At 42.7% G+C, this 12,579-nt stretch overlaps 1 long non-coding RNA gene across 2 annotated transcripts; it reads right to left on the bottom strand.

Moving 5' to 3' along the window:
• LINC03110 (long intergenic non-protein coding RNA 3110) lies at positions 613 to 11,422 on the bottom strand. 2 transcript variants are annotated; one of them, NR_187442.1, is made up of 4 exons: positions 11,330 to 11,422; positions 9,948 to 10,098; positions 9,391 to 9,529; positions 613 to 905 (listed from the first exon to the last, which is right to left on the bottom strand). It is a non-coding gene; the product is annotated as a long intergenic non-protein coding RNA 3110 (long non-coding RNA). The 2 variants fall into 2 exon arrangements; NR_187441.1 differs by lacking the exon at positions 613 to 905 and adding an exon at positions 1,721 to 2,060.
• Positions 11,423 to 12,579: the final 1,157 nt, after the last annotated feature.

Here is a 12,579-nt window from a genome sequence, read left to right as displayed (position 1 = left end):
CTTAGAAAAGTCTGCCATGTACAAAGCGTTGCTTATGCAACCTCTCGTGTGCATACGAGTTAAATGGGTGCCAGTGTTATTTACTCTTAGCCAATATAGCTCAGCTGGGCACTGTTTTGACCTCGAGTTGTACGCCCCCACCCTGGCTTCCCAAGTGACTGCCTCCCTCGTTTTACCCTACTCCCAACCTTTTTTTCCACCTAGCAATTTTATACCCTATCCAGTCACTACCCGCCACCCTCCATCCTCTACCCAAACTGACATTACCTTTTTTGACTGGTCTTTTTCTCTCCTCAATCAAATGTTAATATTTCTATGACATAATTTCACTCCTGTGGTTCTCTTATGGGCATAATGGTATAGTAGAATGTGACCTTTAAAGTTAGTCCTGAATTGGAAACTTGATGTTGCTGCCACTTACTAGTCTAGTGGTGGAACTTAGGTGATCTACTTAACCTCTCTGAGCTTCAGTTTCCACACCTGTAAAAAGTGGAAAATAATAGTACCTAATAGTGTTATATAGCGTCAGGGAGAAGTATGTGCATTGTATATTAGTACTCTTAAAACTGCTACATCAATTTTGGGAACAATGTAAATAGTAATTCAGCTTTCTTTTCTATATTAACCGTTATGTTTATATAAAGATAGGAGAAAAATTGGGGGTAAAGATCTGGCTTTTAAATGTCCCTTAAAAGTTCATGCATGTCTATAGATAATAGCCTTGGGAGTTCTTCCTCATTAGTTCAAAGTGAAATAGATCTTTGTAAATCCAGACAATTGGCAGGAAGCTTGTGGTTTCAATATATGGAACTCCATTGATGTAATCTTCAAAGCACTCATAGGTCTGGAAACTGACTCATAGGATTTTTTTCCTTTATACAGTTTAACTATAGATGGTACTCCAACTAAAAAAAAAAAAAACGCCAGAATGATATATTATTTCACAGTTGGACAGGGTTTAAAAGACTCAGTGCAGGAGAAAACCTGCTGGTCCTTGGATCTGTATACAATGGAGGGAAAGGAAGCAGGAGTTATGTGGCTTAAATGGCATTCATGGCCGAGCGTGGTGGCTCACACCTGTAATCCCAACACTTTGGGAGGCTGAGGCGGGCAGATCACGAGGTCAGGAGTTCAAGACCAGCCTGGCCAACATGGTGAAACCCCATCTCTACTAAAGATACACCAAAAAAAATTAGCCAGGCGTGGTGGCACGCGCCTGTATTCCCAGCTACTTGGGAGGCTGAGGCAGGAGAATCACTTGAACCCAGGGGGCGGAGGTTGCAGTGAGCTGAGATTGTGCCACTGCAGTCCAGTGTGGGCAACAGGGCAAGACTCTGTCTAAAAAAAAAAAAAAGGCATTCATTGTCTGCCATCCCTTATTCCATGCTCAGCCCACTTTGTGACCTCTCTGACTCAGCCTCTGTAGGAGCCACTCAGGTGACCCACAGACACAGGCTCAGCACATCCCCTGCAGCCCATTCTTGCCACCATCTTCCAAAGGATTAGGGAAATTTTCTCATTTCGATTTCAACTTTGTAATAGTAGCTAGGCATCATGCTAGTATTCCACACTCTTCCTTCATGATGAATCATCCAGACCTAAATATTTGATCCTGACCATGGAAAGTCTACACCTACTTGTCTAAATTGATTCATTCACTCAATCATTCATTCCGTCATGAACACATATTCTTGGGGCACCAGGCTCTGTATCAAATACATACTGTTAAAGAATAGTTTTTATTTGATTAATTTATTTATTTTGAGACGGAGTTATGCTCTTGTTGCCCAGGCTGGAGTGCAATGGCACGATCTCGGCTCACGGCAACCTCCACCTCCCAGGTTCAAGTGATTCTCCTGTCTCAGCCTCCTGAGTAGCTGGGATTACAGGTGCACACCACCACGCCCAGCTAATATTTTGTATTTTTAGTAGAGACGGGTTTCACCATGTTGCCCAGGCTGCTCTTGAACTCCTGACCTCAGGTGATTCACCCATGTCGGCCCTCCCAAAGTGCTGGGATTACAGGCATGAGCCACCGCGTCCGGTCTTAAGAATAGTTTCTACAAGAAAGTTTAAATCATGATGCAACAAATATGCAATGAACACATATCAGAGATTTTAACTCATTAACTAACAAGGGAATCAGAAAGGTGTTACAATTACTTCAGAGGAGAACCCAAAGACCAGATAAATATGTCAGCCCACTGAAATGAAGTTGCTTCCTAGATGCAAAACTAGCTTCTTCCACAGTGGAGGAGGGAATGCAATTGAACCTCCACCTGACAATTTATTTAATTATAAACAAGATTCACTTGCATCACTATCAGTTTTCTGTAAGTTCACTGCGATCTCAGAGTTGTAAAGTAGCCTAGTCATGAGACAAAGATAAAGACAACCCAGGCAGATGAGCTAGGCGGGATTCCCACACCACAGTTCGGTCTTCACCAGTTTTCCCTTAGAGTTTGCAGAATACAATGTTGACCAAACCCGATGTCTGCTTAAGACAAGGAACAGGAGGAGTAAGTGCTCTGTTGATAGCAAGAAGTATACAAATCCAGGGGAGAGCCCTTCAGTCCATGTGGAAAGATGAGAGGAGATGGCTTGGGAAACAGGGTAGAAAGAATACCATACTGTAGGCTGGCCGCAGTGGCTCACACCTGTAATCTCAGCACTTTGGGAGGCCAAGGCGGGTGGATCACGAGGTCAGGAGTTCAAGACCAGCCTGACCAACATGGTGAAACCCTGTCTCTACTAAAAATACAAAAATTAGCCGGGCATGGTGGCAGGCAGCTGTAATCCCAGCTACTCGGGAGGCTGAGTAAGAATTGCTTGAACCCGGGAGGTGGAGGTTGCAGTGAGCCGAGGTCGTGCCACTGCACTCCAGCCTGGGTGAGAAAGCGAGACTCCGTCTCCAAAAAAAAAAAAAAAAAAAAAAGAATACCATACTATAAAAGCACAGAGCCAGAAAACATCACAGCAAGGTTGGAGAACTGCAGTTGCTCCAGGAGAGCTGGGGATACTGATGGGAAAGGGACAGAGACCACGATGTAAAAGGCAGTGAAGACCAGATTATGTCATGCCAAAAGCTGAGATTTTATTCTGTAGATACATACCTACCACAGAGCCATCTATGCCCCACTGGTGTTATACAAGATGCTTTTAAGTCATAACATGGATGAACATTTTTATCTTAATAGTTATACATTAATACAGAAAAGAAAAATAGCTGCCAATCAAAATTGCCATTTCAACTAATAGTATTGATTAGGACTATATCAAATTTACTTGTTAAAATTTGATTTTGTTTAAGGAAGTATATTAAATACCCAAGAGAACAGGTGGTATGTGGATATGTCAAAACCCCTAAAGCTAAATGTTTACAGTTTGAGAAACACTGCTTTAAGTGATGGAGAGTAATTGAAATATTTTAAGCAGGATAGTGATTTCACTTTTGGATTTTTGAAACATCTCTCGGGCAGCAATGTGGGGAGGGGAAAGAGTGGAAGTCCAAGAAGTATTCTGGTAATGTAGATGGGAAAAAAAGGCCTCCACCAAGAGCCACAACATTGGGCATGGAGAGGAGGGGCAAACTGAACAAATATTTGGGATTATTTTTTACTAGTCTGTGGCTGTGCCTGGTTGCATGAATCACTATACTTTAAAGAATGTTTAAACTTTTTTTTTTTTTTGAGACAGAGTTTTGCTCTTGTTGCCCAGGCTGGAGTGCAATGGCACGATCTCAGCTCACTGCAACCTCCGCCTCCTGGGTTCAAGCAATTCTCCTGCCTCAGCCTCCTGAGTAGCTGGGATTACAGGCATGCGCCACCACACCCGGCTAATTTTTGTATTTTTAGTAGAGACAGGGTTTCACCCTGTTGGTCAGGCTGGTCTCGAACTCCTGACCTCAGGTGATCCACCCGCCTCAGCCAACTTTCAAATGTGTTATTCTACATTCTACTTGGTTTAGTCAGAAGGAAATGAAACAAACATTTCTGGTGTATGGAATATAGTAAACGTGCAGTAGAGAGGGCAATGGTATTAGATTTAGCCTGGTTGTTAAATGAGTAAGTATGAAAGGTAGAGATGACAAATTATTCCCAAGAGAAGATTCATGTAACTGTATCACCAGCAGTTTCTCTGTGATACACTAGGATTAAATAAAGCAGAATTTAAATAACTGAACATTCCATGTAAGTGGACTTCTTCAGAAAAGGCTTCCTATAGTCAGAGTTTAGGGCTGGATCTTGAAGGAAGGGATGGATATGTTCCAAGTGGGGGAAATGAGAAGGGGCAAAGGTGCAGGAGGTGGATTTTAATATGTGGCATTCAAGGGATGGGATAGACATTGTCTTGGAAAGAAAAGTGGCTAATAAAAGGAAATGAGAGTTGTGAGAAGCTGTGGTTGAATGAGGGCTTGGAACACTAGGAGGAATGAATAAGGTTTGAAGGGCCGGGTGCGGTGGCTCATGCGTGTAATCCCAGCAATTTGGGAGGCCGAGGCGGGCGGATCACTTGAGGCCAGGAGTTTGAGACCAGCCTGGCCAACATTGTGAAACCCCATCTCTACTAAAAATACAAAAAATTAGCCAGGCCTGGTGATGCATGCTTGTAATCCCAGCTACTTGGGAGGTTGAGGCAGGAGAATCGCTTGAACCCGGGAGGCAGAGGTTGCAGCGACCCAAGATGAGATTGCGCCATCACACTCCAGCCTGGGTGACAAGAGCAAAACTCTGTCTCAAAATAATAATAATAGGGTTTGAAGGTCCAGGGATATAAGAACAATGGTTGCAAGAGTATCCAGTTGCTCTAGAGCAAAATTTCCCAAGTTATGTCCTGGGGAACACCAGTTCCTTGAAACACATTATTAGTGCATTACTTACAAAAAGAGCTCCATGGCAAAACTAATTTGGTAAACGCTGTGTTAAAGTTTTTCAGGTTTCTTTTCTGTGTGTCTCAGAGCCTTTAAGAAACTGCAATATGTTGTGGCTTCACCGGTATATAGAGTGTCTCCAAACTTCTTTACTTACTGGGCCTGTTTTTGCTAAGTGTGTCCCAGAACTAGTGTTCTATGGATTTTCCTTTAGAAAGTGCTATCTTAGAACATACCTAGTAGATCTCAAAACTCACAGGTGCTGCCACTTCTCCTCTCAGCTCAATCAACTCTCCAGGTGGCACTGACTCTCCTCTGCTTTTCCTATCCCCCTGACCTACCCCAGCTGATGCCCCAAACCACTATCGTTCCACTTCACATCCAGGAATGGTTGTAAAACTTCAGACACATTTTTTAAAAATGGTAAAGCAACAAGAAAAAGGTAAGAGATTCATCAATTATTTGAGACAACAGTGGTTTTCAGTATTGCTTAGACTGGTTGGCAACTTTTTCTTTTTTTTTTCCCCAAAGTGAACTTTGGGATTTCTCTATTTGATGTATGTTTATCCATGTATACATTTTTACAGATTTGTATACATTGAGGTATGGGATTGAAGAACCTTTATAGGGAGACTGCATGTATTTCTGTCTGTCTCCACCCATCCCTGTCTCTGCGTAAAGCATCCCACCTGGCTCCTACATTGAAACAGAAGTTGTAAATTCTGAAGAAACTGTCCAATTTGCAGAAAGGGCAATAGTGTATTGCAAAAGGTGGTTGACATCTTAGAGCAGACACCACTTGGGTAGGAAGGGTATATTATAATGTAGTAAAACATCCTTGCAGTTAATTTTCAGGTAGAAATGTTGAGGCCTGATAGAAAAGGATAGTTTGGCAATGCTTTATGAGATGGAAGACATTTATATGTACTTGTTCATATGGATATAGACAGCTTCTCCTTTCTATTCAAGAGAAGCTATCTGAGCATTAGTATTACAATAGGAATAACACCAGGCGTTATTACAAAAATGGCATTGTGATAGGAAAAGTCTTGAATCAGGCCTAATTTATTATCTACAAAGCAAATCATTAAGAAACTCTGAAACTTAAATTATCACAGGGGACACATTTCAACTGTGGGTGGAAACTTCAATTGGGATGTTATTTCGAATGGAAAATGGGATTTTCAACCGGGTAATAACTACATTAATCCACAGAATAGTTTTTTGAATGTGGGATAATAACAAATGCATTGGACTATCATATAATTTATGAAGAAATTCATTCAATAATATTTACCAACTACCAATCAGTACACTCTTAGGTTTTTTTTTCTTTTTTTTTTTTTTTTGAGACAGAGTCTCGCTCTGTCACCCATGCTGGAGTGCAGTGGCGCGATCTCGGCTCACTGCAACCTCCGCCTCCCGGGTTCAAGCAATTCTCCTGCCTCAGCCTTCCGAGAGTAGCTGGGACTACAGGCGTGCGCCACTATGCCCAGCTAATTTTTGTATTTTTAGTAGAGACAGGGTTTCACCATGTTGGTTGGCCAGGATGGTCTCGATTCCTTGACCTCATGATTCCCCGCCTCGGCCTCCCAAAGTGCTGGGATTACAGGCATCAGCCACCAAGCCTGGCCACTCTTAGGTTTTAAGAGGAATGCTGGCCATATCAGCGTTCCTTCCTCTCCCTTGGCTGTACCTAAGAGTTACATGAGGGATAAAGAATTCCTCAAAAAGCTAAACAGAATTACCATATGATCCAACAATGCCACTGCTAGGTACATACCCCAAAGAATTGAAAATTCTTTAAAAAAATGTAGTATATCCATACAATGGAATCATATTCAGCCATAGAAATAACGACATTCTCTTTTCTTTTTTCAAAAATAAGTGTCTGTTTGTTGTTTTTATTTTTTGTTTTATTTTTGTTTTGAGACAGGGTCTCACTCTGTCTCCCAGGCTCGAGTGCAGTGGCGCCACCTCGACTGACTGCACCCTCCGCCTCCCAGGTTCAAGCAATTCTCGTGCCTCAGCCTCCAGAGCAGCTGGAATTACAGACGTGCACCACCATACCCAGAGGATTTTTGTATTTTTCAGTAGAGAGGGGGTTTCGCCACGTTGGCCAGGCTGGTCTCAAATTCGTGGCCTGAAGTGATCAGCCCACTTCGGCCTTCCAAAGTGCAGGGATTACAGGCGTGAACCACCGTGCCCAGCTTCTTCTATATTTTTGGAGATAGGGTCTCCCTTTGTTGCCCAGGCTAGTCTTGAACCCCTCCTGTGCTCAAACCATCCTCCCACCTCGGTCTCCCAACGGCGTATGATCCCTCCCACTCCTGGGATGACAGGCATGAGCCACTATGTCTGGCCCATAAAAAAGGAATGATATTCTTATACATGCTCAGCATGGATAAACCTAGAAAGTTTGTGCTAAGTGAAATAAGACACAAAAGGACAAATATTGTACAACTTTGCTTATAGGAGGTACTTCACATGGTCAAATTCATAGAGACAGGAAGTAGAAAAGTGATTGCCAGGGGCTAGTGGGAGAAGGGAATGGGGAGGTATTGTTTAATAGGTACAGAGTTTCTGTTTGAGACGATGAAGAAGTTCTGGGGATGGCTGTACACACTGCAAACGGACTTAAGGCCACTGATTTGCACACTCAAAAATAGTTCAAAGGTAAATTTTATGTTATATATAGTTTATCGCACACACAAAAAGAATCATACTGATATCTTGGCTGTAGTCCCCAGAGACAGTGATTTTAATTGGTTTGGGTGGGGCACAGGCAACAGTGGTTTTAAAAGTTCCTCAGATGAGTCTGATGTGCAGCGAGGCCTGAAAAGGGATGGACCATCTCCAGGGCAGCTGGCTCAGCCTTGACTGCATATTAGAATCATTTGGGGAGTTTAAAAATGTACCTAGATCTGTGGCTAAAGTAAAAAAAAATTCATTGTACACTTAAAAATAACTAAAAGCATAATTGGAATGTTTGTAATACAAAGACATGAGAAATGCGTGAGGTGATGGACACCCCATTTCCCCCAATGTGATTATTATATATTGTTTGCCTGTATCCAAATTGCTCACATATCCCATAAATATAGATACCTGCTAGGTCCCCATAAAAATAAACAATTTAAAAAAATATACTCATGTCTGAGTCTTACACCCCAGATTCTTACTTGATTGGCTTGGGGGTGCTGCCTGGTCATTGAGATTTTTTTGTGTTTCCTAAGCTGATTCTAAAATGTGGGTAAGGCTCAGAATCATTGCCCTTGAGAAAGCCTAGGATCATTTCACCTTTGGAGAAAAAGTACTTAACGTATGTCATTGAAGAAATCAGAGTCATGGGGCTGGGGGGGTGCTTCTGGTGAGAGTCAAGGGGCCAAATTCTCTATATATTGCCATGTATGTATATGCAGTCAGAATGTGAAAAATGGGAGAAGCAAAGACCAGTAGAGGGCCCAGGAGAAAGGGAGTAAAGATCCATCTATTAGGCTCACTCCTAAGGGAGAAAGGCTCTTTATTCTTCCAGGCATCCAGCTCCTACCAGCTGCTGCTGCTGCTTTTATTTTATTTTATTTTATTTTATTTTTTTCTGAAACCAGAGTTTTCCTCTGTCACCCAGGCTGGAGTGCAGTGGCACGATCTTGCCCCACGGCAACCTCCACCTCCTGGGTTCAAGCAATTCTCCTGCCCAGCTGCTGGGACTACAGGCACATGCCACCACGCCCAGCTAATTTTTATATTTTTAGTAGAGATGAGGTTTCACCATATTGGTCAGGCTGGTCTCAAACTCCTGACCTCAGTTGATCCACCCACCTCAGCCTCTCAAAGTGGTGGGATTACAGGCGCAAGCCACCGCGCCCGGCCTTCCTACCGGTTTCTAACATAGGCACTGCTCCTCTGCTCCCGTACTCCATCCCCAATCCCTATGTGAACTCCTTTCCCTGCCCAGGAAGAGTTCAGAGCTGACCTTTCCAGCCAGAGTTATAAAAAGCCGGGGATGTTGAGAGTGTCCCAGTGAAGGGACCATAGGCTGGTGCATGAAAAATAAGCCCGTTTACCTTTAAAGGACCACTGAGGTGGTAGACATACACCATCCCCTGATGAATTCTGACCGGCTTCAGCTTTTTCTCTCTCTCTCTCTTTTTTTTTTTTTTTTTTTTGTCTTTTGTCACTCTTATCTGCCTTGGTATTTGTATGTCTGTTCTTCTGTATAGATGCTTTCTTAGTCTGCTCATTAGGTTGCATTACATTCCTGCTGTCTTATTTGTGAAAGCCCTACTCCAGTCCTAGGTCCTTGGAATCAAAGCCAACTAGATGAGGGGTGGGGTGGGGATTTAGACATGCAGCTGAAAGGCAATGAGGGATCAGGGTGGCACCTAGAAGACAGGAAGTGTGGAGACAGTTGATGGCCCAGCTCTGCTCTGGGCCTTGGAGTAATGGTGGTTCCTCGTTAGTCCAACCCATTCCATCAAGGTAGAAGTCTATTATAAAGATTTCAGCAGATGACTCACCTGATCGTAAAGAGACCACACTTGCCAGCAATGTCTTCTGTGTACTATGCCCCTCTTCCATTTACAGGTGTCCTTGGGAACCAAGCAGACATTGACAAGGAGACTTGGGCTTCCAGATCCTGACTCCATTCAGATACAGCTGCCAAGGGGCACAAAATTTAAAACAGAACTCATGTTTTCTAGAAGCCTATGATCTAGTTGTGGAGATAAATTATACAAACAAAAAAGTGACAAGCAAGGTTTTGGACATTAGGACTTCTTTATTGTTGATGTGTGTAGTTCAGTAGTTTTCTGGAGACTTTTGTCAAAGAGCCTATGGATGAGCAAAGAGCAAAGAGAAATAATTTTCCAGGATTAGGAATGGTGGGTGCAGAGAGTTAAAGGAATCTTTGTGAAGACTGATTATGAAGGCATGATTCTTTCTGCATAATAAATTGTGTACTTTATTATTATTAGTTTAAATGTGACAACCATGATCATTCTCGGTTAATATCGACATTACCCTTTGCAGGTAAGCACACTCAGGTAGAAAGGTGGTTAAATACTGTATTACATACCTCCAAGGATGACCTGTTCTCAGTCCTCTGGGATTTCTGATAGAGGGAGTTTAGCAGACTCTTCACAAACTGTTAGGTGCCAAGAATTGATTCAAAGCTCCTGATCACTGGGCTGTTCATTCAGAGTGTGGGAGTTCCTTGGTGTGGTACACTGTAGACACATTTAAACAGAGGGCAGCGTGGACTGGATGTTCTCTGAGGTCCCTTTACTTCCGAGGTTCTAAGTAGTAAGGGACTTTGGATAAGGGAGAAACTTAAAAAAGTTACAGTGGCTGAAGAAAGCCTAAGAGAAAAGTAGGGGCCTAAATTGTACCTGAAGGCTGGGCAGAGTTGGAAGGACATATTAGTTCCTCCAGACAGGAGAACATATGATCAAAGACTACCTGTGGACAATTATCACAGATCAAAGACTAGCTGGGGACAATGATCACAGTGACTGCAGGATGGTGGAATACTTATGAAGCAAATAATATGTAAATAAGATTTATTTGTGTCAGGGAGGGGGCAGCATTTAAATAACCGGCAGTTGAAAATTGTACCATATTAGTTATATGTCTAAAATTAGATGTTCAGAATAAACAGCTATTTCAGAAGAATGGACACAGTATTAAATTAAAATACAAGTAAGATTTATTTGTTGGAGGAAGTGGGAGAGGAAGGTACATGTTCAGTTGACTCAACAGTTTAAATCATACCTAAGACATTTACATATCAGCTATATGCTAATCCTTATATGATAATTAGTAATTAAATTCATTTTGCAAAAACATCAGTGAAAGCTTTGCTGTGAAACAGTTTTGTAGGAGGCTAGTTGAAATTATTGTTAAATGCCTATTTGAAAGGGCAATTAGTTAGACTATTCTGTAGTTCAAGCTTTTCACTAAGTGACTTAGTGAGTTATACTTAATGAAGTTCTGTTATATATAGATCAGAGGTCCGAAGCTCTTGGAAATTCTTATATTTTAATAAAGTAAGCAGTCAAGAACTGTTTAATGATAATAAGAGTAGCTTGACACAGATACATATTTAGTCACCTGTTTAACAATCACAGAATATCAACCCTAAAGAGCACCTTAGCTGACCTAGGCCAAGACCTTCAGCATCAGACAGTCTTGTAGCCTGGAGAGATTTTTCTCTGTCTCTTCCTAAACCTCTACTATAGTGGTTCTTAAAGTGTGGTCCTGCCTCAGCAACATCAGGGACCTTTTGAAAAATGTAAATTCTGGCTGGGTGTGGTGGCTCACACCTGTAATCCCAGCACTTTGGGAGGCTGAGGTGGGCTGATCACTTGAGGTCAGGAGTTTGAGACCAGCCTGGCCAACATGACGAAACCCTGTCTCTACCAAAAATATAAAAAATTAGCCGGGTATGGCAGCACGCACCTGTAATCCCAGCTACTTGGGAGGCTGAGCCAGGAGAATTGCTTGAACCCGGCAGGCAGAGGTTGCAGTGAGTCGAGATCTTGCCACTGTACTCCAGCCTGGGTGACAGAGCGAGACTCCATCTCAAAAAAAAAAAAAAAAAAAAAGAGTTAAAAACATGCAAATTCTTAGGCCCCACCTCTGATCCCCTGATCGACTGAATCGAAACTCTGGGGTGGACCCAACAATATGTAGCTTAGTAAGCCCTCCAGGTGATCCTGATCCACACTGGGGTTTGAGAACTGTTTCCCCACACTACAGCTTCAAAATATCTTGAGGAAATAACTTCTCTTAGATCACTCTTAGCCACACAGAGAAATACTTCCTGTTTTATGTCTAAATTTATCTTCCTAAAGCTTTGAAGGGTGGAGCACACTATCTTCAGAAGTGTAGATACTTTTTTCACATTCCTTTATGGGCAACATGCTAGGGTGCATCTCAGCAGAAGGGTGGCCAAGCCTGGGAGGGGATGAAGACAGAGCTGGCACTAAGCAGGGACATGGGGAAACAAGGGCTGATCTTAGCCATTATTTGATTATTTGATAATCCAAGATTCACTCCAAAGAGGAGCACAGCATAGTCTGGTTCAGCACCTGGGTTTTTAAGACTAATAACACTGAGTCAGAGATTCACAAGGTTGTGGGGGGAATCTTTGGACCTAGGTAGTAGAGATAAAATGACGGGAATCATCTATACTGGCCAACATTGTTCTAGAAATTGTCTGAATAAAGCATAACAGAATAGAGAAGGGTCCAACCCTCTGGGGATATAGCATTGACAAGGAAAAAATGACCTCAGATGACTGGCTGCAATTTAGGGCAGGATTCTACTGCTCCCCTCCCCCTCATTTCTGCCAACCCAGCATTAGCTAAGAAATCCAGGGATCCAGGATGTACAAGTAATGAGGGCGGAAGGAGCACATAGGTGGTCCAACTGTGCTGCTGAGGTCTTCCCAGCACTGTTTGGGATCTGTTCCAGAGAAGGGAAGGACTGTGCAGATAGCTGGTGGCTACTGCTTTGTCTGCCTAGAGTGGAGTAGCACTCTGTTCTCAGGAATACTGCTTTCCACAGTGTGGTTTAATGGGATCCCCCAGTTTCTGACTGATCTGCTTCCCTAACTCAGTGATTGGCTACAGATAGGCATGTTCCCCAAATTCAGTCCTGAGACTTCTGACCTTCAACCAGATGGAAGATCTTGGGTTTGCTCAGGT

This window comes from Homo sapiens, chromosome 18, assembly GCF_000001405.40.
Source record: "Homo sapiens chromosome 18, GRCh38.p14 Primary Assembly".
In the NCBI taxonomy this organism is placed as follows: domain Eukaryota; kingdom Metazoa; phylum Chordata; class Mammalia; order Primates; family Hominidae; genus Homo; species Homo sapiens.
The sequence above is the reverse complement of the archived record's forward strand: the minus strand, read 5'-3'. Positions and strand labels throughout refer to the sequence as shown.